The 23,194-nt window shown below is 34.3% G+C and overlaps 1 long non-coding RNA gene across 1 annotated transcript in view; it reads left to right on the plus strand.

Moving 5' to 3' along the window:
* The window catches only part of LOC105372745 (uncharacterized), a 122,882-nt gene that overhangs the window by 68,385 nt on the left and 31,303 nt on the right, over positions 1 to 23,194 (plus strand). The window contains exon 3 of the long non-coding RNA XR_937603.2: positions 5,528 to 5,600. This is a non-coding gene — a long non-coding RNA (uncharacterized LOC105372745). The remainder of the gene's footprint in view (positions 1 to 5,527; positions 5,601 to 23,194) is intronic.

Consider the following 23,194-nt stretch of genomic DNA (forward strand, 5'->3'; position numbering starts at 1 on the left):
TAAAAGTCATTAAGATTAATGTAGGTTAAACGTTCATATTTTACTACATGGCTTATATATTTTTGTCCTGCCTAAAAAATATTTGCTCACTCCTAGATCATAAAGATCGAAATATATTTTCTTCTAGAAAATAGTATTTGTCTTTTATATTTAAGTCTACAATGCACTGAGAATTGAGTTTTGTAAATACAATGATGTAAGAGTCACGATTTATATTTTTGGTATTTAATTGGCTCAGTATCAAAAATAAATTCTTCCCCATTTCAATATATATCACATTTTTATGTGACTCCGTAAGTCACATAAAAGACTCCATAAGCCTTTTTCTGGCATTTTATCATATTCTTCTTGTCTAGGTGTCTATTTCTGAGTTAATTGTATATTATCATATTTATTATATATGTATATTTTATAATTATATCTGAAAATAAAAGTTCTTCAGCTTCTTTAATACTTCTGCAAGATTTCTCAAACTATTATTGGCTCTATTTTTCATATAAGTTTCAAAAACAACTTATCAAGTTTTGCCAAGAAACCTGCTGGGATTTTTGTTGGAGTTGCATCAAATCAATATATTAATTAGGAGAGATTACATGTTCACAATACTGACTTTTCCCAACCTTGAACCTTGAATAGTGTACTTGTTTAGAGAGTCTTTAACTGACAGTTTTTACATTTTGTAGTTCGTATTGGAAGGTTATTGCTCGTCTTCTGTTAGATATGTTACTATGTATTTTATCTTTCTAATGCTATTGGAAACATTTCATTTTTATCTTCTATTTTCTATGTTTTTCCTTATAGTGAGAATTACATTGAATTTTTGCCCTTGCTAAATTTCCTTACTAATTATTATGTATCTATAATTTTGAAAAATCCTATATATGCTATATGTAGAAGGAGCAGTTTTATTTATTGCCTTCCAATCCTAATGCCACTGTCTTTTTAAAAATGTCTTTTATTATCACACGATGACTTCCAGTACCATGTTGATAGACCACAAAATAGTTTTCAAAATCCATAAAATTTTCTCAGATTAAAAATGCATGTAAAATTTTTTTAGTAAACATTCTGTCATTTGCTTTCATTCACAGTGCAGTCATTTAAAATAGTATACCTAGTAACCTTGGCTCTTCACTCCCCAATCATTCTGCAACTGAACACATACTGACTTCCTCTATCCTATTTCAGTGACACTATAAATGCTACCTGCCACTCTCTAATTTGCACTCTATTGTATAATTTTCATTTCAATTCTGTATTGTATCTGTAATCCTTTTGGAAGTTTTTGTTTATTGCCTTGTATGAAGCCACTCATAGTGTTTTTTGACATTAGTTTTTATAACAGGAGTTTTGGAGTCAGGAAAGGCTTATATTTGTGTCTATAAGGAGTTTCTTATTTAACCCTTTCAAATTCTCTAATTCTTTAATACTTTTATCTTCTAATATATACTTACAAGACTTTTGTAGGAAAGAAATACATGTAAAGTGCCTAGTACATGGCCAGGCACATGACAAAGGGACAATAAATTATAGTTCTTTGGCATATCTATGTCTATCCTTGTGCTCCTCAAAATTAGGTTTTCCTGCAGGTTTTCTTTTAGAAATTTGTTCTTCTCATTCTAATCGCCTATCTTGAGTAATATCTTATTGTTACCTTTTAAAATTCAGCTTAAGCTTTATCCCCTTTATTCTTCCTGAGCAAATCTAACATATTTTCTTCTGTCATGTTTTCATAGTATTCTCACTTATCACTTGCTATGCTTTACATTCTAATAACATATGCTTATTTCCTCAAACTTGAATGCGAGTTTTTTATTTGAAAGAAAAATTGTGTTTCATTTCTATAATGAAAATCTTGAGACTTGAGCTTTCATAAAGTCATTTAATCTTCCATTTGCAGATACATTTTTTTCAGAGTATCACTAATATATGTGGCTGCTTAAATTCATTGCAAGGATTTTATTATTATCATTCAGGTAAATTATATGATGAAAGTATATTGGGGGTAAGATAATTATCCAGAAAAGTATAAAGGCAGAATAATATACACACATTAATATAGGCTTACCATTTATGTCCTATTTCCTACTCCATTCTCCCTTCCTTCCTTCCTTCCTTCCTTCCTTCCTTCCTTCCTTCCTTCCTTTCTTTCTCTTTCCTTCTTTTCTTTTTTTTTTTTTTTTTTCTGAGACAGAGCCTTGCTCTGTTGCCCAGGCTGGAGTACGGTGGTCCAATCTAGGCTCACTGCAAGCTCTGCCTCCCAGATTCAAGCAATTCTCCCTTCCTCAGCCTCCTCAGTAGCTGGAATTACAGGCTCCCGCCACCACACCTGGCTAATTTTTCTATTTTTAGTAGAGAAGGGGTTTCGCCACATTGGCCGGGCTGGTCTCAAACTCCTGACCTCAGGTGATCCATCCACCTTGGCTTCCCAAAGTGCTGGTATTACAGGCATGATCCACTGCACCCGGCCTCCATTCTCCATTTCTAACCAGATTCTTTCCAAATTTGATTTTTCAAACAATGCCACATTGAATTTGTGCCTCCTTATAGAATACTTGATAGGGGTAGGAAATGAGCACTTCAAATTTTACCAATTTTACCATTTTATCAAGCGATTCTCCTGCCTCAGCCTCCCGAGTAGCTGGGATTACAGGTGTGCACCAGCACACCGGGCTAATTTTGTATTTTTAATAGAGACGGGGTTTCTCCATGTCGGTCAGGGTGATCTCCAACTCCCGACTTCAGGTGATCCACCCGCCTTGGCCTCCCAAAGTGCTGGGATTACAGGCATGAGCCACCGCCCCCAGCCGTCATTTGTTATATGTAAATATCTGTTTCCAGTTTTTAAAAATTTTTTTAACATTAATTATTATTCTGGTTCATTTTTAATTGTTGTGGGTACATAGTAGGTGCATATATTTATGTAGTGCATGCCATATTTTGATACCGGTATAAAATAGATAATAATCACCGCAGGGTAAATGGGGTATCCATTGCCTCGAGCATTTATTTTTTCTTTGTGTTACAAAAAACTCTAATTATACTCTTTTATTTTAGAATGCACAATAAATTATTGTTGACTGTAGTTACCTTGTTATGCTATCAAATCTAGATCTCATTCATTCTATCTAACTATATTTTTGTACCCATTTACTGTTCCCACTCTCGTGCAGCTCTCCTCTACCCTTCGCTACTCTTCCCCAGCCTCTGGTAACCATCATTCTACTCTCTGACTCCACGAGTTCAATTGTTTTAAATTTTAGCTCCTACAAATAGGTAAGAACATGTGAAGTTTGTCTTTCTGTGACTGGCTTATTCCACTTAACATAATTTGCAGTTCCATCCGTGTTGTTGCACATGACAGGATCTCATCTTTTTATTATTATGGCTGAATAGTACTCCATTGTGTGTACGATCACATTTTCTTTATCTATTCATCTGTTGATGGACACTTAGCTTGCCTCCAAATCTTAGCTATTGTGAATGGTGCTGCGGTAAACATGGAAATGAAGATATCTGTTTGATATACTGATTTTCTTCCCTTGGGACATATACTTAGCAGTGGGATTCTACATCATATGGTAGTTATATTTTTATTTTTTTGATGAACCACCACATTCTTCTTCACAGTGGTTGTACTAACTTACATTCTCATCAACAGTGTATGAGGGTTTCTTTTTCTCCATATCCTCACCAGCATTTGTAAATGCCTGTCTTTCGAGTAAAAGCCATTTTAACTGGAATAAGATGATATCTCATTGGAGTTTTGGTTTTTGTTTATTTCTTTGTTTTGAGACAGGGTTTCACTCTGTAGGGCAGGTTGGAGCATAGTGGAACAATCATGGGCTCCCTTGCAGCCTTGATTTCCTGGGTTCAGATGATTCTCCCACTTCAGCCCCACAAGTATCTGGGACTACAGGTGCACACCATCATGCCCCACTAATTATTGTTTTTTTTTTTTTTTTGTAGAGACAGGGTTTCACCATGTTGCTCAGACTGGTCTTGAACTGTTGAGCTCAAGCAATCCACCTGCTTCAGTCTCCCAAAGTGCTGGGATTACAAGTGTGGGCCAGCACATCCAGCCTCATCGTAGTTTTGATTTGCGTTTCTCTGATGATCAGTGATGTTGAGCACCTTTTCATACACTGTTTGCCATTTGCATGTCTTCTTTTGAGAAATGTATATTGATGAAACTAGACCCCTTTCTCTCGCCATATACAAAAACCAAATAAAAATGGAATAAGACTTAAATCTAAAACCTCAAACTATAAAATTACTAAAAGAAAACTTTAGGGAAACTCTCCAAGGTATTAGAGTGGGCAAATATTTTTCAAATAATATTCCACAAGCACAGGAAATACAAAAATGGACAAATGAGATCACATCAAGTTAAAAAGCTACACAGCAAAGGAAATAATCAACAAAGTTAACAGACAACAAACAGAATGGGAGAAAATATTTGCAGACTATTCATCTGACAAGGGATTAATACCCAGAATACAAAGGAAGCTAAAATTACTCAATATTAAAAAAATCTAATAATTTGATTAATAAATGGTCAAAAGATTATTGAGCTTTTGACATCACAGGTTTTAAAATTTTAAGAGTCAAATCTAATATTCAAAAACATTTAACAAATTTATCCATTAAGTTTTGAAAACTTTTTGTAGCTTCATATAATATATGAATATATTCATCGAATTAAATGTTTCCTTTCATATTTTAAAACATACTAATTATTTGTTATTGTTGATTCATTGAAATGCTACTACTTTTATATTTTGATACAATTACTCTGCTAAATACATCTTAGTTTAAAGATTGATTTTCTTTTAGTTTCTGCATCATTATGAGATTTATATTAAAACTTTACCATTTTCTTTTCATTTTCTACTTTCTGTTACTCAATTGTTTTGTTGTATTTCTTCAGGTAAGACTTCCAGTATCCTGTAGATTATTAGTTACATTAGTGGGCAAGCTAGCACTTTGCGTATAGTAGGAAAATGACTGCATTTCCCTTCTTTAAGGATGATTTTGCTTGGATTTTTGAGAAGTTTATCAAGCTGCTATAATCTATCACATTTGGTACGTTTTTCTTAGATGCGTTTTCTGGATCTACTGAGAGTTTTTCTTTTTTTTTTCCTATAATCAATTAATGTGGAGATTTTAAATGATAACTTAAAAATATTAACCTATTTTGCATTCCTAGGGTAAATTGTACTAGTGTAAGCTTTAAATTTTTATTTTGTAAATAATACATAGTTTTCTATATAACAAATAAGACTATCTCTATCCCATCTATTTCCCTAAAATTAGATTTTAATAATATGTGGAACATGTACATTGTCAGGGGAAAAGTTTAGACTATAGATTTGGTTTTTGAAAGGCTATTTTTTTGTTGGAATTTTTTTTTATTATTCATAAATCACTCTTATACTCTTAATAATTGTATTAGTTTGCTGCAGCTGCATAACAAATTACCAGAAACTTACTAGGTTAAAACATCACACATTTTCTTATCTTACAGCTTCCATCAACCAGGAGTCTGTATATGCTTTACCTGGTTCCTCTGCTCAGGGTGTCCAAAGGCTGTGGTCAAGGTATGTGCGGAGGCATATTGTCAAAAGAGGTCTAACTGGGGGAAGTTAAGCTTTCAGGTTTCTTGGGTTGGTGGCAAAATTCACTTTCTTATTGATGAATAACTTACGGCAGCTTGCTTTTTCAATGCAACTGTAGGATAGAGGATCTTTCACCTTAGGAGGGCTGCAATCCCTCTTTTAAGAACTTTAACCTGTTTGAATTGGACCCATCCAATATAATCTCCTCTTGATTAACTCAGAATCCACTGATTTGGGACTTTGGTTACATTTGCAACATTCTCTTGCCTTTGCCCTATTCTGCTAGCTAGAAGTGACTGCTTCTACTTGACATCAGGGGAGAAGACTTTTCAAAGGTGTGGCTCATTAGGGTATATCCACCACAAAATGTGCCTTTATAAAAATGATTTGTGTAGGATATGTGCATAAGTGTCTCATTTTAATATTTCTAATACAATATATTTAAATATTTTTTCTTTGTTTCTCATCCATCTTGCTGCGGTTGATCCATTTTATTAAAAGTTGAAAGACATAGATTATTGCTTTCATTGATATTTGACAGTTTTTACAAGAAAATCATTATATAATTATGAGAGTGCATCATTTTCCTACTCATATAAAAACAACAGTTTCCTTTGGGACTTAGAAATTACAGATGAGAGATCGGATCTTTTTTAAAAAATATAATTTATTTTTTTAGAACACTTTAAGTTTCACAGCAAAACTGGGTGGAAAATACAGATAATTCCTATATAAGACTTGCTCCTTCACATTCACAAACTTCATCATCTACATTCAGCACAACAGGAGTGAATTTGTTACTGTTGATCAACCTACATTAACACATCATTATCATACATAGTCCATCATTTACACTAGTGTTTACTCTTGGTGTTGCATAGTCAATGTTTTTTTTTCATCAAATGTATAATGATGAGTATGCACCGCTGTAGAACCATACAGAGTAGTTGCACTGTCCTAAAATCCTCTCTGCTCTGCCTGTTCACGGCTCCTCTTTTCCCCTGAAACCACTGAGTTTCTTACTGTCTCCACAGTTTTTCCTTTTCTAGATTGTCATATCATTTGAATCATACAGCATGTAGCCTTTTCTGATTGCGTTATTTCACTTAGTAATTTGCATTAAAGATTCCTCCATATCTCTGCATGGCTTGTTAGCTCGTTTCTTTTTAGTGCTGAAAAATAATCCATTGTCTGGGTGTGCCAGTTTATTTGTAGCAGTTTGTTCAGCTACCAAAGGAATCTTAGTTGCCTCCAAGTTTCAACAATTATGAAAAAGTGTTCATAAATGTCCCTATGGAGGTTTATGTGTGAGCATAGTTTTTAACTCATTTGAGTAAATACTAAGTAGAGCTATTGCTAGATTGTATTGGTAAGATTGTGTCTAATTTTGTAAACTGCCAAATTATACAAATTATTCTCCAAACTTTCTATAGCATTTTTCATTTCCACCAGCAATGAATGAGAGTTCCTATTACTCTGCATCCTCATCAGCATTTGGTATTGTGTTCTGGATTTTGGCCATTCTAATAGGCATAAAATGATATCTGATGGTTGTTTTACTTTGCCATACTCTAATGATATATGATGTTGAAGATCTTTTCATATTCTTATTTTCCATCATATTCCTTCTTTGATGAGACATCTATTTGGGTCTTTTGTCCATTTATTAACATCTTTGTTCCTGTTCTTGTTAAGTTTTAAAAGTTGCTTGTAGATTTTTGGAAAACAGTCGTTTATCAGATGAGTCTTTTGCAAATATTTTTTCCAGTCTGTGGCTGTTCTTTTCATTTTCTTAACATTTCATTTCCTGAGCAGTTTTTATTTTAATTAAGTTCAGATTGTCAGTGATTTATTTTACAGATTGTGCCTCTAATATTATATCTAAAAAGTCATTCCCATACCCCAGCTCATCTAGATTTTCTCTTATGTTATATTTCAGAAGTTTTACATTTTTGGTTTTACATTTAGATCTATGTTCCATTTTGAGCTCATTTTTGTGAAGCGTTTCCAGATTATTATGTTTTTCATGTGGATGCCCAGTTGTGCCAGCACCACTTGTTGAAAAGATTATTTTTTCTTCATTGAATTATCTTTGCTCCTTTATCAAAGATGAGTTGACTATGTTTATGTGGGTCAGTTTATAGATTAATATTCTGTTCTATTGATGTAGTTGCCTAATAAAAAAAAAGAGCCATCACAATATGGCACAATTTAGCCTTTACTTACGGGCACAGTTTGTGTTTTTGCAGAATGGACTCTCCATAGCAAAACTTAAAGCGTTTTTTTTTTCTTTTGGCGGGTTGTTTTTGAGTTATTAAGTGTAGATATGGTGTGTTCATTAATAATGAACTAAATGACTCTCAGGTTTCCCCGCCTCCTTGGGAATTGACACTTTTTGTGTAAACAATTTAAAAATGAACTGGGACAGGTGCAGTGGCTCATGCCTGTAATCCCAGCACTTTGAGAGGCCAAGGTGGGAGGATTGCGTTAGTACAGAAGTTCGAGACTATCCAGGGCAAGAGTGTGTGAGACTTCATCTCCTCCAAAAATAAAAACACTATACTCCAGGAAAAAAAAAAAAAAAAGAAAAGAAAAAGGAAAAGAAAAAGAGAAAAAGAAAAAAAATATGAATGGCAAAAGACCCAGAGTAGCCAACTTATTACTGAAGGAGAGCAAAGTTCTACTAGAATTTAAGACTTACTGTAAAACCACAATATTTAAGACAATGTGGAATTAGTAAAAGAATAGGCTATCTGTCCATGGCCATAAATAGAGGCTAAATTGTGCCACAGTGTAATGGCTCTTTTTTTATTAAAATTTCTTCGATATTATAGCAAGGATGTTGCAAAGGATAAATAATGCTAAATTTTAATTTCTTTTTTTAATACTTCAAATTAGTAGTGGCAATATTTATTCAATTCAAATTATCTTTGCTTCTCAAGCTATAAATATATATTCAAGATAACCTTGTACTGAAGAGGTAACTCAAGTAACTTATACTTTTTCCACTTTACAAGTCCCCTTTCTTGGTTATAACTATTTTTAGGAGCTATTTTATTTGAGGACTTCATAAAAGTAATGTTTCTGTGAATGACTAATGAGAAATTAAAATGCTGGATACTCATGCTCTTTTATCACTATGACTCATGTAGTTAATAAAAACTGTCTTATTTTATTTTATTGCAAACATAATGCCATCCACACAGTACTTAAGTCAATATGATTTCAGTGACATCTCAAAAAAATAAAAGTCAAAGGAAACAAATATACCATAAAATACTTCTCAGAGTTTCTCATAAGTGAAAATAGAACTTCATCAATAATTGAATCAATCTTTGTTATTAAATTCAACTAAAGAATCTGTTGCATACTCCTAACTATAGCTCTTTAATAAACAATAATTTTCAATGCTTTTGGAATTGCTGAGATATCTTTTTTTCCATGGTTGTTTAAAATTCACTTGGTTTAATAGTTGTTTAGCTCTTATAATATGCCAGGTACAGTTCTAAATTCTTTACAAGTACTGTCTAATCACTTAAAATAAATTCAATTTTTATATAAATGAGAAAAATAAGAACAAAATCAATTAAGTAACTTATCTACATAGTAGATCCAGGTTTCAATATCTTGATAGTCTACCTCTGACTTAAAGGAGAAATCTTTTATTTGTATACCTAAGTAAGCAACACCCCCATTGTGAACAGACTAGCCCATCTATTTGTATGCAAACTAAATCATTTCCAGTGACTTCATTTATCATAAGTTACTATGGTCTCAATAAAGTTTCCTAACTCTAATCACAGTATCTAGAAGACAACTTACAATATTGTCTTACATAATTTCATTACCCTCTATTAGATATCTCTTCTTTGATTCTCTCTAAGGCTATGTGAATTTGGTGCTTTTATTTAGCTTTGATCCATATTGTTCAATGGCCCTTCTTCACCATGGGGTAATATGAATAGGATAAATGTATCCACGAATAGGAAAAAAATATATTGTCTTTATTCCTCTAGATGTTGCCCCTAATTTGGTGTATCACAGCAATACCCAAAGATTAAGATGCAAAGTCTAGGGCAGGAGTGTCCAATCTTTTGGCTTCCATGGGCCACATTGAAGTAGAATTGTCTTAGGCCACACATAAAATACACTAACATTCCTAATGATAGCTGATGAGCTAAAAAAAAAAAAAAAAAAAATTGTGAAAAAAATTGCAAAAAAAACACCTCATAATGTTTTAAGAAAGTTCAAGAATTTGTGTAGGGTCACATTCAAAGCCATCCCGGGCTACATGTAGCCTGTGAACCACAGGTTGGACAGGCTTGGTCTAGGGTCAGGAATGCAACCCTCCTGGGGTAACTGCATATTTGCTGCTTCACCTCCTGAGGTCTATAACCTCCACTGCCCAAATACTATAAAACAGCAATTCCACTTACCTTTTATTTATCTCTATTTTCCTGTTTCACATTTTTTCTCCATAGATCTTATCAAGAAGTAACATATTACATATATTTCATTGTTTATTTCCATTGTTCTATGAGTTAATCTAGCTTCTCTGAGATGCAGACAAGATGAAATTACTCATGCAAGAGACCTGCCGGGGACAATGTCTTGGAGGGATAACAGAAGGGAACTGGGGGAGTCTGAAAAGTTGTCAGACCTTGATGCCAGTTGGCCCTGGGCAAAGGATAAAAAGAACAAAGTAAAGGATGAAGCAACTTAGCCTGCTATACAGACCTAAGAGACTTGACAAGGCTATTGTAAAGTTCTTGCATCAAAATGTCCCATCAAAGAAGAACCATATCACCCTCCTGAATGAGATCACCTTTAACACCCTTGCCTTATTCAATCGTTGGCACAGAGAAACAACAGAAAGCATTCCCTTGGCACAAATGACTAATTTTAGAGCATAATATCTGTAATTGGCAGTTAATTACATCCCTCACAAATGGAGATCTGACAGGCATGCATCAATTCTGTCTCTACCTATTGAAGTACAGGGGCTTCTTTATTCATCGAACTATGCTAAACACCTACAAGAGTACATGGGTCACAGTAATAATCAACAAATGTATTAGAATAAATGAATTGTCTCTGGCAAAAAAAGATGTTTGTATTTTCTCTAATGTCTTCTTGGAAATTAGTCTTCTTCCAAGAGCTACTGGTCATCTGGAATTATAGACTACCTTGGGGGATGTCTGAATCTTCTTGAAAACTTCACAATAGGGCAAGAAAAATTTTTTTAAAGGAGCTATTTGACCAGAAACCAGAGAAGTGTCCTTGCAGAACACAAATTATCCCTAACACCAGTCACTGAAAAGTAATTACACGGGGTTTCAATGGCAACTGAAACAAGATGAGTGCTGATGAGTTTCAGAATGGAATGTGAGCAATCTAGAGTTCAGAATCCTTGTGGTGTCTATGTTCTACCTCATTAAACATAGCCAGAGTTTCAAACAGTTGTATTATCAAAGTGCAATGTGCTCTATTATTTAAGAATATACAATTCTGCTAAAGATGATGAAAAATAGTAGAATGGGTAAAAATCATAGGATGTATTAAGCATACAGAGTGAGCAAGCAAATAGCTTATGAGACAAAGGAAGAATCCATAAAATTGTTACGAATAAGTTAGCAAAGTATAATATAAAGTAAAAGATAAATAGAATAAATGGTGTAGATAAAGGCAAAAGCAAGAGTTCTATTATGGATAGAAAGGGATGGAAGGAACCAGTAAATCTAAAATATTAATAAGCACAAATCATACCCCCTTCAGTTTGACAGTGAAATTATCCCTAAATCACTCACCCATTGGTGACATTTATTATGATCCAATGTGGAACTCCTGTGTGCTCTACTGCAGAAATGTGGTTAATAAGCATGGCTGCTCTGCAAATCACAGGCAAGGTATATTTACTGAACAGGCATACTGGCTGCACATCCTTCCAATAGAGCTAGTATACTTGGCTCCAGGCATCCTCTTTGTGCTGAATCCCCTTGCTCAAATCTCACCTTTGATTCTCATAACCACATTATCAACAGAGAAGGATGTTGTGGCAGAGAGAGAGTAAGAGACACAGGACATATGAATATTGTGTAACTCAGGGTACATTGTGGTCATTCCACCCAACATGTGCCCTATTCTAACTGTGTTAACCTATCCCATTTCTTTGCTATTGATTTATATTATTCTTTAAATTGATTCAGTAGACAATGTAATTCAAAATCTTAAGGAGATGTGTGTGACTTTCAACTCCAGGAGCTCCGTGATAGCTTGCCTCATATTTTCCTGAAGATTACCATTGCAAAATGGTGATTTTCCACCTGACACAACTTGTTCTCATTCAAAAAATTTCTCTGTAAAGTATTACAGGTAACAGAATAACTGGAGCCAAAATTCCTCTTAGTAAGGAAACTTATGTTAGAGGAAAATAGCTGCTTAGAATAGAATGTTTAATGTAGAATCTCGTTAAATGTGGGCTTCTCTATGACAGTTAATGGAAAGAGCTGGACACATAAGAGATGCAGCAAATTCTTTGAAAGAAAAAACCAATTCAGTAAAGAAAATGTGATACTTACTTTAAGGGATTTCTACAGAACTGTAAAGACCTAATCCTACCCAACCCAGAAGAATTAAATCTTAGGGAAGCAAAATGATGTTCATTGGAAATGGAATATAGATTCAAACTTAACTAGAGTTTAGTGACACAAAACCTTGAAGTGCTTTCAGGATTACATAAATTTCTGGTTAAAATTTAAATCTTTCATCTGATGGAGTAGCTCATTAACTTCCAGGGAGAAGGGAAAATTATATGAAGTAGCTTACAAGATAGAGGTTCTTGGCCCAGCAAAGGTTGATAACAGTGGAGAGTGTGCTAAAGTTTTGCAGAGTTATTGATTTCCTCAGCAGACAGGTGAACTGAGTTGGGCCTATGTGACCCAGAGCTCTTTGTTCTGGCAACTCAGGCTGTGAGCAACCTTTGACACATCAATTTTTGTCACGGATTATTATGTTTTCTGTGTGAGCCATGATATGAAATTGCTGGGAATCAATAATTTATGATAATACATTGAAAGTATCCTGAGCAATGGGGAATCCACGTGGAGTAAAGCACCAGGCTGTGGGGAATCCTCAGAGGTCATCATATTTCTTTACAACGTCCCCAAAGTGATAACTGGCAATATTTCACTTACAGTTGATAATAACTTTTAGAGGTGGATACTATTATATTGCTTATTTTATAGATGGACTAACAGAGGTCATTCAAAGACCTCTGCTGAATAACCTTTCATCTTTATAGAGGCAGCCAAACCACAATTTTTACAGGGGTAAAATGCACCCAGACAAAGGATTAGATTTTCTGAGAATCAGTTGTAAAGACAGGTGATTGAATTTTCCAAAGATGACAAACAGTATCTCCTACAAAATATGATTTTCTGGAAATATGCCACTACTCCTCTTTAATCTGCAAAGGTTTATGTATGCGTGCAGGAAGAGGCTGCATTCAAATTATACCGTGTGATGTTCAAGTCTAGGTTAGCAAAGAACTCAGCTTCTGTGCTTTATGTTGGATGTTTACTCCTAAGACACATCAATGAGGATGACTTCAGACTATTTCAGCCTACATCCGTTAAGTTACTCCTAGCTTTTCAGTCTGTCTAGCTGAGGCATTAATCATTTTGGAGTAGAGACAAGCCATTATTTCCACATCCTTTCTAAATTCCTGCAAACATAACAAAATGGTAGTTCTTTTATTCTACAAAGTTTGAGGTGATTAATCAGTGATAATAAATGGAGCAGAAGCTAACTATAGTCAAGTGAATAAGTTTGGGCCAATGAGATATAAATGAAAGCTGGAAATTACTTAGAAGTTCCTTTTTTTTTCCTTTTGTATTTTTATTTATTTATTTATTTATTTATTTGAGACAGAGTCTCACTCTGTTGCCCAGGCTGGAGTGCAGTGGTGCGTTTTCAGTTCACTGCACGCTCCGCCTCCCGGGTTCACGCCATTCTCCTGCCTCAGCCTCCCGAGTAGCTAGGACTACAGGCGCCCGCCACCACAGCTGGCTAATTTTGTTTTTGTATTTTTAGTAGAGATGGGGTTTCACCGTGTTAACCAGGATGGTCTCGATCTCCTGATCTCGTGATCTGCCCGCCTCAGCCTCCCAAAGTGCTCAGATTACAGGTGTAGCCACTGCGCCCAACTGGAAGTTTCTTTAAGGAAACAAATGGCTAAACTAGGTTATAGTCCCTGTCCTTCCCTTTTCTACCTTTATGCACCCTGAAATGAAGATGTAACCATCATTATTAGAGCTCCAGTTCCCATCATATAGCATTGAGGATGGAAACCTGAAGATGGCAGTAGAGATAGACATATAGGAGACTAAATTTTTGTTGACTTAATCAAGTCTTCCTAGAAATTCAGAATCGTTGGCCATTAGAATTAATCTTCGTGAGAGAAAAGTAGCCAGTATTTAAGACACTGTTATATTGGATTTTCTTGTGTGTGCTGCCAATCTTAGAAATAGTTTTTTGCATTTTAAATAAACCAAGTCACTTGCCCAAGTTAATTAGTAAAAAGCAAGGATTTGCACTCCAGTGGTCTGTCTTCAGGACCTTCAGTTTAATTACAGCATACTGCCCTGGAGGCAAAAGTGCACTTGTCATGAATGTGAAATATTATAATGCTTTTTAAAACATCAAAAATAAAATCTATCATAATGGTAGAATTTTAAAGATATAGAGGATATAAAATATTTTATCATGGAGAAACTCTGCAGCAATTAGACTCTCTGCCACCTGCTCTTGCCATCGTCATCATCAGTCACAGAAGTAAATCTTTAATACCTGTGAAAATTTATATTAGACTAAATATTTTTGTTATTCTATCCCATGGGTATTCAGTAAAATTGTTTTACATATTGATTTAATATTATATGTATGTAAAATCTTATAATTTATTGAAAGAAATGGTATATATTGGGGTCAAGTTTGTCCTGTTTTTTTATGGATTCAAATTCATTAAATATAGTACAGTCATATAAACAAAAAATCCTGGTTGTAAAACCAAATTCTAAAATGAGAAACTTTTTTACGGCCCTAGGTTACAAATAATTAAGGAAACATCCAATTCGGTATAAGTGAAAAATTCATTCTTTCTGATTTTCTGTGCACTTGCACATTTGTAACTCGCTAGTTTCATTTGCAGCAGAGATATTGAAAACACATTTCAAGAGCTCCTACTGATTTGAGAAATTTATTGTACCTTAAGGGCTGTCAGAAGAAATTTGCAAATTACTACTCCAAATTATTTCAACAAGAAAACATACTGATATGTTCAGGTAATGGAAAGGGGAAAAAAGATTAACGTAAGTGTCATAAGAAAGCTATTGTGCTGCATAAATCACAGGTAGTCAAATATGTTGTGTAAAAAGGATGCTGTGCTAAAATGCAAGAAAGAATATATATTATACTTTGTTTCTCATTCAACTCAGAGTACTCCTTTGATTTCGATGTTAAAATACACACTTCCACATTTTTCCATACCAAGAGTAGGGATTTAAGCCATTTCTTTCTTCCTTAAAATACTATTTGGTGAATCAAAACCTGTTGGCTTCCATCTACGAACATATAGATATATTTCGATATACATGAAAAAATTTAGTTGAAATATTTGAAGATTCAGCAAACCCAGACAAATCAATTAAAGTAGGCATCATGTTTAATCACTAATAGTGGGATTAAATTTAGTTGTATTTTAAAGAAATGGATCCTGTGACTAATGCTTTCTTTATAAATTTTATTGAAACAATATACTTAATTTAACCATCAATATAGTCACAGATATAATGTACTCTTCAATACAAACAATGGAGAAAAGCATTTTTAAAGTATTTTAAAAGCTGGGATCTATTAATGGAGGAACATTGCTTTTTTAGGGAAACACCCGATAGCCTATCAAAGTGTGGAAAAAAATTGGACCTAGGCAATATGTGAATGGAAACAGCAAGCACAGAGTATTTTCTTCAGAGCTGAACTGCTTTGTTTAGGAAAATGGAAGCTTTCTGTATTAGTCAGGGTTCCCTAGAGAGACAGATCTAATAGGATAGATAGATAGATAGATAGATAGATAGATAGATAGATAGATAGATAGATGCATGCATACATACATACATACATAGATAAATAGATGAGAGATATAAAGGAGTTTATTAAGCATTAACTTACACAATCACAAGGCCCCACAATAGTCTGTCTGCAAGCTTGAGGAGCAAAGAGAGCCAGTTTGAGTCTTGAGACTGAAGACCTTGGAGTCTGATGTTGGAGGGCAGGAAGCATCCAGCATGGGAGAAAGATGTAGACTGGGAGGCTAGGCCAGTCTCACCATTTCAAGTTTTTCTGCCTTCTTTATATTCGCTGGCAGCTGATTAGATTGTGCCCTCCAGATTAAGGGTGGGTCTGCCTTCCCCACCCCACTGACTCAAATGTTAATCTCCTTTGGCAACATCCTCAAAGACACACCAAGGAGCAATACTTTGCATCCTTCAATCCAATCAAGTTGACACTCAGTATTAACCATCACACTTCCTATTCATTTCTATTTAGTTTATTTATTTATTTATTTTTCTGAGATGGAGTCTCGCTCTGTCGCCCAGGCTGGAGTGCAGTGGCGTGATCTCGGCTCACTGCAAGCTCCGCCTCCCGGGTTCACACCATTCTCCTGCCTCAGCCTCCCGAGTAGCTGGGACTACAGGTGCCCGCCACCACGCCTGGCTAATTTTTTGTATTTTTAGTAGAGATGGGGTTTCACCGTGTTAGCCAGGATGGTCTCGATCTCCTGACCTGGTGATCTGCCTGCCTTGGCCTCCCAAAGTGCTGGGATTACAGGCGTGAGCCACTGTTCCCTGCCCTATTTAGTTTATTTTTCAAAAGAATTTTTTTAGGGGAAATCACACTGGTAGTGGAGGTAATTTGTTTTTGCAGAAAGAAGTGATAATGTTGTGGGAGGATAAAAATAGTGGATTGAAAATGATTGTAGAGCATCAAAACACCCAATTTTATGTTATATTTTCTGTTGTGTTGTAATTAAAATTTTCATTATCTGTGACTTCAGTAAAGCTTCTACAGAACAAAACCTTATCACCTTATTTACTGTATGGTGCAAGATGAAGTATGTGCTTATTAACCCTCTATGTAGTTTTAAAGAATGTGAGGAAAGTGACTGAGCTCCATATGCAAATAGAAGCAAGGAGCAAGACATCAGTCAAATTGGACAGAAAGAAAAAACACAGATTTTGGGATGATTTAAACAGCTTAGAGCTATCCTCCAACCATCACTATGACTACCAAGTCTTTCAGGGATTAGCAGGGATGCGGTGCTATAATCTGGAATAAAACAATACTAAACATCAAATAATATTTGAGTCATGTAAATTTCAAAGGTTGTATTGTTGATACAGAAACACCTGCTAGTGGAAATATTGTCAAAACTTTGTGTGTGTGTGTGTGTGTGCGCATGTGGTGTGTGTCTATGTGTGTGTGTAACAAAACAACATTGAACTTTGGCAAATAGACTTGCTTAATCCAAAAAATATATTTTAAGAAAATAATACACTGCATTAACCTTGCACATGTAAAGTGATTGTCTGCATTCCTTAATTTTTCCCAAGCATTGTTTTCCATAAATGCAAATAAAACACTAAATCATTTTTTCCAATTGAGAATGGTAATGAAAGGATATAATATGTTTTATTATTCTAATATATTTAAATTAGGTATTTTGTTTTGGTAGTGCCTGACATCATATGTGTACCAATTTAAACGAATTATGTAGTAAGATCTTAGTGCGGCAGATAAGCTAGATAATTAAATGATCTATTCATCTGTTTATAGGTTTATCTGTCTGAAACACAAAACTAACTCGAGAAGAGTTTCAGTAGTGGTCGTGAGATAATATTTGCACTAGATGAAAGTTGCTCACATCTTGTTCTCAGTGCAATCCTTAAGCAAAAGAATTCTGGCAAGAAAATATCCATTAAATAAACAATCTGTGTTTTTAAAATTTAATTACAATGACAACAAAAAGCATACTTTTAGAAATAAGTCCAAAATATATGATTCCTAATTTAATGTAATTAATACTATTGTTACAATACATAAAATAAATATATTGAATACATTTTAAAGGCAGAACTAAAGGGCACATAGAAGCACACTTTCATTTCTAAAAAAAATCTTTAATAACATTGTGTAATAAAGCTTATTATTCTTGAGGAAATATATTTTGGTCTTGGGGTAGGGTTTTGTTTCTAGGAACTAATGCATATTTTACTTGAGACAATTTTTGCCAGTTTTAACTGAAATTTAAGATTACTTCCTATCCCCAAATTGTTAGTTTGCATTAACAAGCTTCCATAGACAAGGCACACTGATTAAAAAAAAAAAAAGCTGGTGATATTTAGCCTGTAGCTTACTAAAATTATCAAGCTTATAAAAGATATGTCACTATGTTAATTAGTTAGAATAATACAGAGCAAATTACTGTAAACACACTATCAGATGGTATTATGAATAAGTGTTCTTGAAAGTCACTTTTATATGTAGAATTACAGAAATGACCTGCGGAGTAGGGGAGATCTAGATGGGCCATAGATAAGTTTTATAGTGATTGTATAAGGAGCGTGATGTAAATTCCACATGAATAGAATATTATGATAAAGAAAACAGTTAAGAGTTTTGCAGCATGGGAGAAATGAGATTTGGGTCCAGTTTTGGCCTAGCAACTAACAAGATATATGTGTACTCAGCAAATTAATTAAACTTTTTGAACTTTAGTATCTTTACTTTTATGCAATCTGTTTGATCTTCTAATAACTGTATATAAGAAAAGTCACATTTCCTTATTTATCCAAATAAAATTATAATAAAATTTGAGTCTCTCTTACCTACCAGTTTGGTCAAACATCTAAAATATCTACTCTTAGGTGTTTTATTGGTTTTTTGTGTTTTTTTTGTTTTTTTTTTTGAGACGGAGTTTCACTCTTGTTGCTCAGGCTAGAGTGCAATGGTGTGATCTCGGCTCACCGCCACCTCCGCCTCCCAGGTTCAAGCAATTCTCCTGCCTCAGCCCCCATGTAGCTGGGATTACAGGCATGCACCACATCTGGCTAATTTTGTATTTTTAGTAGAGATGGGGTTTCTCCATGTTCATCAGGCTGGTCTCGAACTCCTGACCTCAGGTGATCCACCTGCTTTGGTCTCTCAAAGTGCTGGGATTACAGCTATGAGCCACCGTGCCCAGCCAGGTGTTTTGTTTTTGTTGTTGTTTTTTTTCCACCGTTTTGGACTATGATAGATATAATTTCTTCTTCTATCCTTATTGATACACCATACCAGTTAAGTTATTTAAACCCTTAAGGCTTAGTAATATGATCTGCAAAATGAAGATTATAATAGCTATCTCCTGGGTTTTTTGAGACTTCTAATATGAAAAGTGAAAATGAACTGATTATTGTAGTATCTATTTTATGGCAAATGTCCAATTTAGTTTAATTAAATTTTTGAAGAGTAAGGTTTTTATGATATCATTTCAATAGGAATAGAGAATAGTTCTAATTTATTCTTAACTTGAAGTTTTGAAAAAAAAATCACTTAAAGTCCTCTTTAAGATAATTATTCCCTTTGTTAAGGAGATTGGTTTTATTTTAATATAAAATACAATATTGGATCCTTCATTTTCTTTCGAAAGCCAAAAAAATAGTTGTGCTAACATTACCTCAAATACATTTCTTTGTCTATAGATTATTCAAATGTGGAATATCTTTGTCAATCCAAAAAAAAAGATATTAAATAGATTGTTCTGCTTTACATTTTATTGTTTTCAATATTGTTTTAGTTAAATGGCCTTTGACTTGTGCTCATAAAACTTTTTAAAGCAAGACATTTATTTTTTGTTGATTTGCTGTCATAAACCAAAAGTTTGACGAAGCTGCTAAAAGATTTATATAGTATATAGTTAAAGCATTCTAGAAAGACTCACAGAAACACAAAGATCTCCTTTGATAAGAGAAACAATAAAATTACTCCATTCCGCATTCTATCACCCTTTCCGGGTCTTGTTCAAGGTAGTTCTGGTCATTGACTCACGAATTGAGTGGTTTTAGATAAAGCTGTCCTTGGTCATAAACTCTCTCAAAAAGTAATAAAGGGGGGATTTCTCTTATAGGGCATAGTGTATCTTATTTTGAGATGAAATGATGTGCAATGACCACTGACAGTCTTTTGAGTTGTGTTAAAAAAGAATAACAAAAGGCAGCTGGTTGAGGAAAAGGATAAGAATATATTAGAAAAGGATAAGTATATATTGGAAGAGAGATCCAGAGGAAAGCAGAAAACTGCACACTTCATTGCTGCAGAACACACAAAAAAGTATAGAAGCTGATGAAGAATCAGAGAGCATATGTAGGTGTGGATGTTTAAAAAAATAGCAGTAGAGTCTTTGACACTCCTCCTGGTTAGTGTTAGGGTATATGCTTCCTCCCATTGAATCTGGGCAGACTTTTAACTGCTGTGACTGTAATCGAGTATGGCAGAAGTGATACTAAGGCATGTCTGATGTTTTCATAGGCTGTGACAGTTGCACAGACTTTCTGTGATTTTGATGATTTTGACATTTAAGAAGTACTGGTCAGGCAGCTTTAGAATGTCCCTCACTTGTGACCTGTCTCATATTTTTGTCATGATCAGATTAGTGTTATGGAATTTTAGGCAGAAAACCATGGAGGTAAAGTGCCATTCTCATCATGGATATTGAGGATGCACAAATATATTATTAGAATGACTCATTACTGTTAATTTTTTTTTTTTTTTTTTTTTTTTTTTGAGGTGGAGTCTTGCTCTGTCCCCCAGGCTGGAGTACAGTGGCGGGATCTCGGCTCACTGCAAGCTCCGCTTCCCGGGTTTATGCCATTCTCCTGCCTCAGCCTCCCAAGTAGCTGGGACTACAGGTGCCCACCACCATGCCCAGCTAATTTTTTGTATTTTTAGAAGAGATGGGGTTTCACCGTGTTAGCCAGGATGGTCTCGATCTCCTGACCTCATGATCCGCCCGCCTTGGCCTCCCAAAATGTCATTACTGTTAATTTTTAACTTGATTACCCTGCTGAAGTGTTTGTCTGGATTATCCACCATTAACTTACTCTTTCCAGATTCCCTTTTGATACTATACTCCTTGAAAGAAAGTCACCGTATACAGCCCCCTTCAACAAGTGTGTGTTGGCGGGTTATATTCCACCAGATTCAGGGTAAAGATTCTACATAAATTATTTGAAACTCAACATAATTTTTTTCTATTTCTCCTCATTTATTTTTATCCAATCATTTATTTATATTAGTATGGATTGATGAATATACTTTGAGCTGTTATCCAATAGTACTTTATTTTGTTCCTCAAACTGTCCCAGCTTTGGCCATTGTTATCGTTTGGTTGTTTTTAGTACTTTTTTACTTTGTGGAACAGAAAGAACCTCTGGGCTTATATTATATGTTTTGTGCCCCAATTCTAGAACTAGCTATTTTTCCAAGGGACTCTATCTTCTTTTATTGGAGAATGGTATTAGAAACCAAGACCATGGTGCTAGTTATAATCATTTTTAATGGGGTCCCTTCGTTAGCTGACAGGGTAAAGAAATATACAGGTAAATTCTAACCTGTATTTAGGTAGCTATCTTAAAAAGTGTCCGCATCTATCATCTGTATCTATATTAAAATAAACTGAGCTCATACTGATTGCCCTAATTCATTACCATATCAATCATTTCAGCTTTCTCATCTTGCTTATCTGTAACTTTAAACTCCTATAGTGAGATACCAGTTTTCACCACCTGCTATCCATTAACTTAATTCTTTGATCTCATTATATTTACATATACACATATATATATGGTGGTCTCAGTATTATTAGTTTTATACAACAGTGAGAAATATCTTTATCAACTAGGGTACAGTATTTACAGGCAGTACTTTTGCCTTCAGTCTTACTTAGTCATTTTGCCTTTAGTCATTTCCAAAGTTACTTAAGAAAGCACCATTTTCATCCACCTCATCATTGAAGTTCCACAATACAACTCTAATATAGTTTAATGCTTTGGTCACAGTCTGTTTTGCATCCTGGAATCCTTTACCTCCTAAATTATTTTTATCTTGAATATATTAAGGTTTGCTGTTTTGTTCTAAACATCTATGGGTTTTGACAAATGCTAGTATTATGTACCACCACACAAGATCATACAGAATAGTTTTACCACTATAAAAACTCCCATTCACCTATTCAACCACCTTGCCCAATCTGATCCTCTGGAAGCCACTGATCTGTTCACATCCTTATAGTTTCACCTTTTGCAACATGTCTTATTATTGTAATCATACAGTAGGTAGACTTTCAGACTTGCTTGTTTCACTTAGCTTTCTGAGTTGTATGGTGAAGCTGTGCTAGGCTTCATAACAAATGGCCAAACTGGCCACTGAAGTGTCTGTACAATTCTGCCTTCCCACCGACGATGAATAAGAGTTCAGTTTCTGTTGTTCCACATATTATGAGCAATTAGTATAGTCTTAAAAATTGCTATTAGAATATTTTATAGTGATATCTCATTTTTATTTTGATGTGCATATTTCTAATGGTAAGTTTTGTTGAGCTTCTTTTCATATACCTATTTATCATATTTATATCATCTTTGGAAATGTGGGTTTTCAGAATTCTTGCCTATTTTTAATTGGGCTTTTTGTTGGGTTATTATTAAATTTTAAAAATTTCCTTAAAGTTTAATTTGATTTTTTAAATACAAGGCCTTTAATGGATATGTAGTTTGCAAATATTTTCTCCCAGTCTTGATTTTTTTTTTTTGCTTTTTTTGTTACTGTTTTCTGTCTTTCACAGAGCAGAAGTTATTAATTTAATAAAGGTCAACTGATTAAATTGTTTTCTTTCACGGGCATTTTTTGGTGTTTTATTTAGAAAATTGTCACCCAAATCAAGTTCACGTAGTTTCTCTCAAATGTTTCATTCTAGAATTTTTAGGGTTTTCTATTTAACAATGAGATCTATGATTAATTTTGAGTTAACTTTTGGAAAAGGTAAAGTTTGTGTTCATATTCTTTTTTTGCATTTGAACTTTGAATTGTTCTACCACCACTTATTAAGAAAAACTGCCCTTTTGCCATTGAATTGCATTTGCTCCTTTGTCAAAGTTTCATTGTTACATTTGCATTGATCAGTTTTTGGGCTCTATTCTGTTCCATTATTCTGTGTGCCTGTTCTTTTGCAATATGGTACTGTTTTAGTTACTGTAGCTTTATAGCAAGTATTGAAAATGGATATTATATTTCCTCCACATTTTTTTCTTTTTCTTCAGTAATTTTTGGCTACTCAATATAAATTTAAGAATAACTTTGTCAGGATCTGCAAAATATATCTTGCCTGCATTTAGATTGGTATATGTGTTGAATCTATAAATTACATTAGTAAGATTGGTCATCTTAACAATATTGAGTCTTTCAAACAATGAAGATGGAATATC

This window comes from Homo sapiens, chromosome 21 (genome assembly GCF_000001405.40).
Source record: "Homo sapiens chromosome 21, GRCh38.p14 Primary Assembly".
Lineage (NCBI taxonomy): Eukaryota > Metazoa > Chordata > Mammalia > Primates > Hominidae > Homo > Homo sapiens.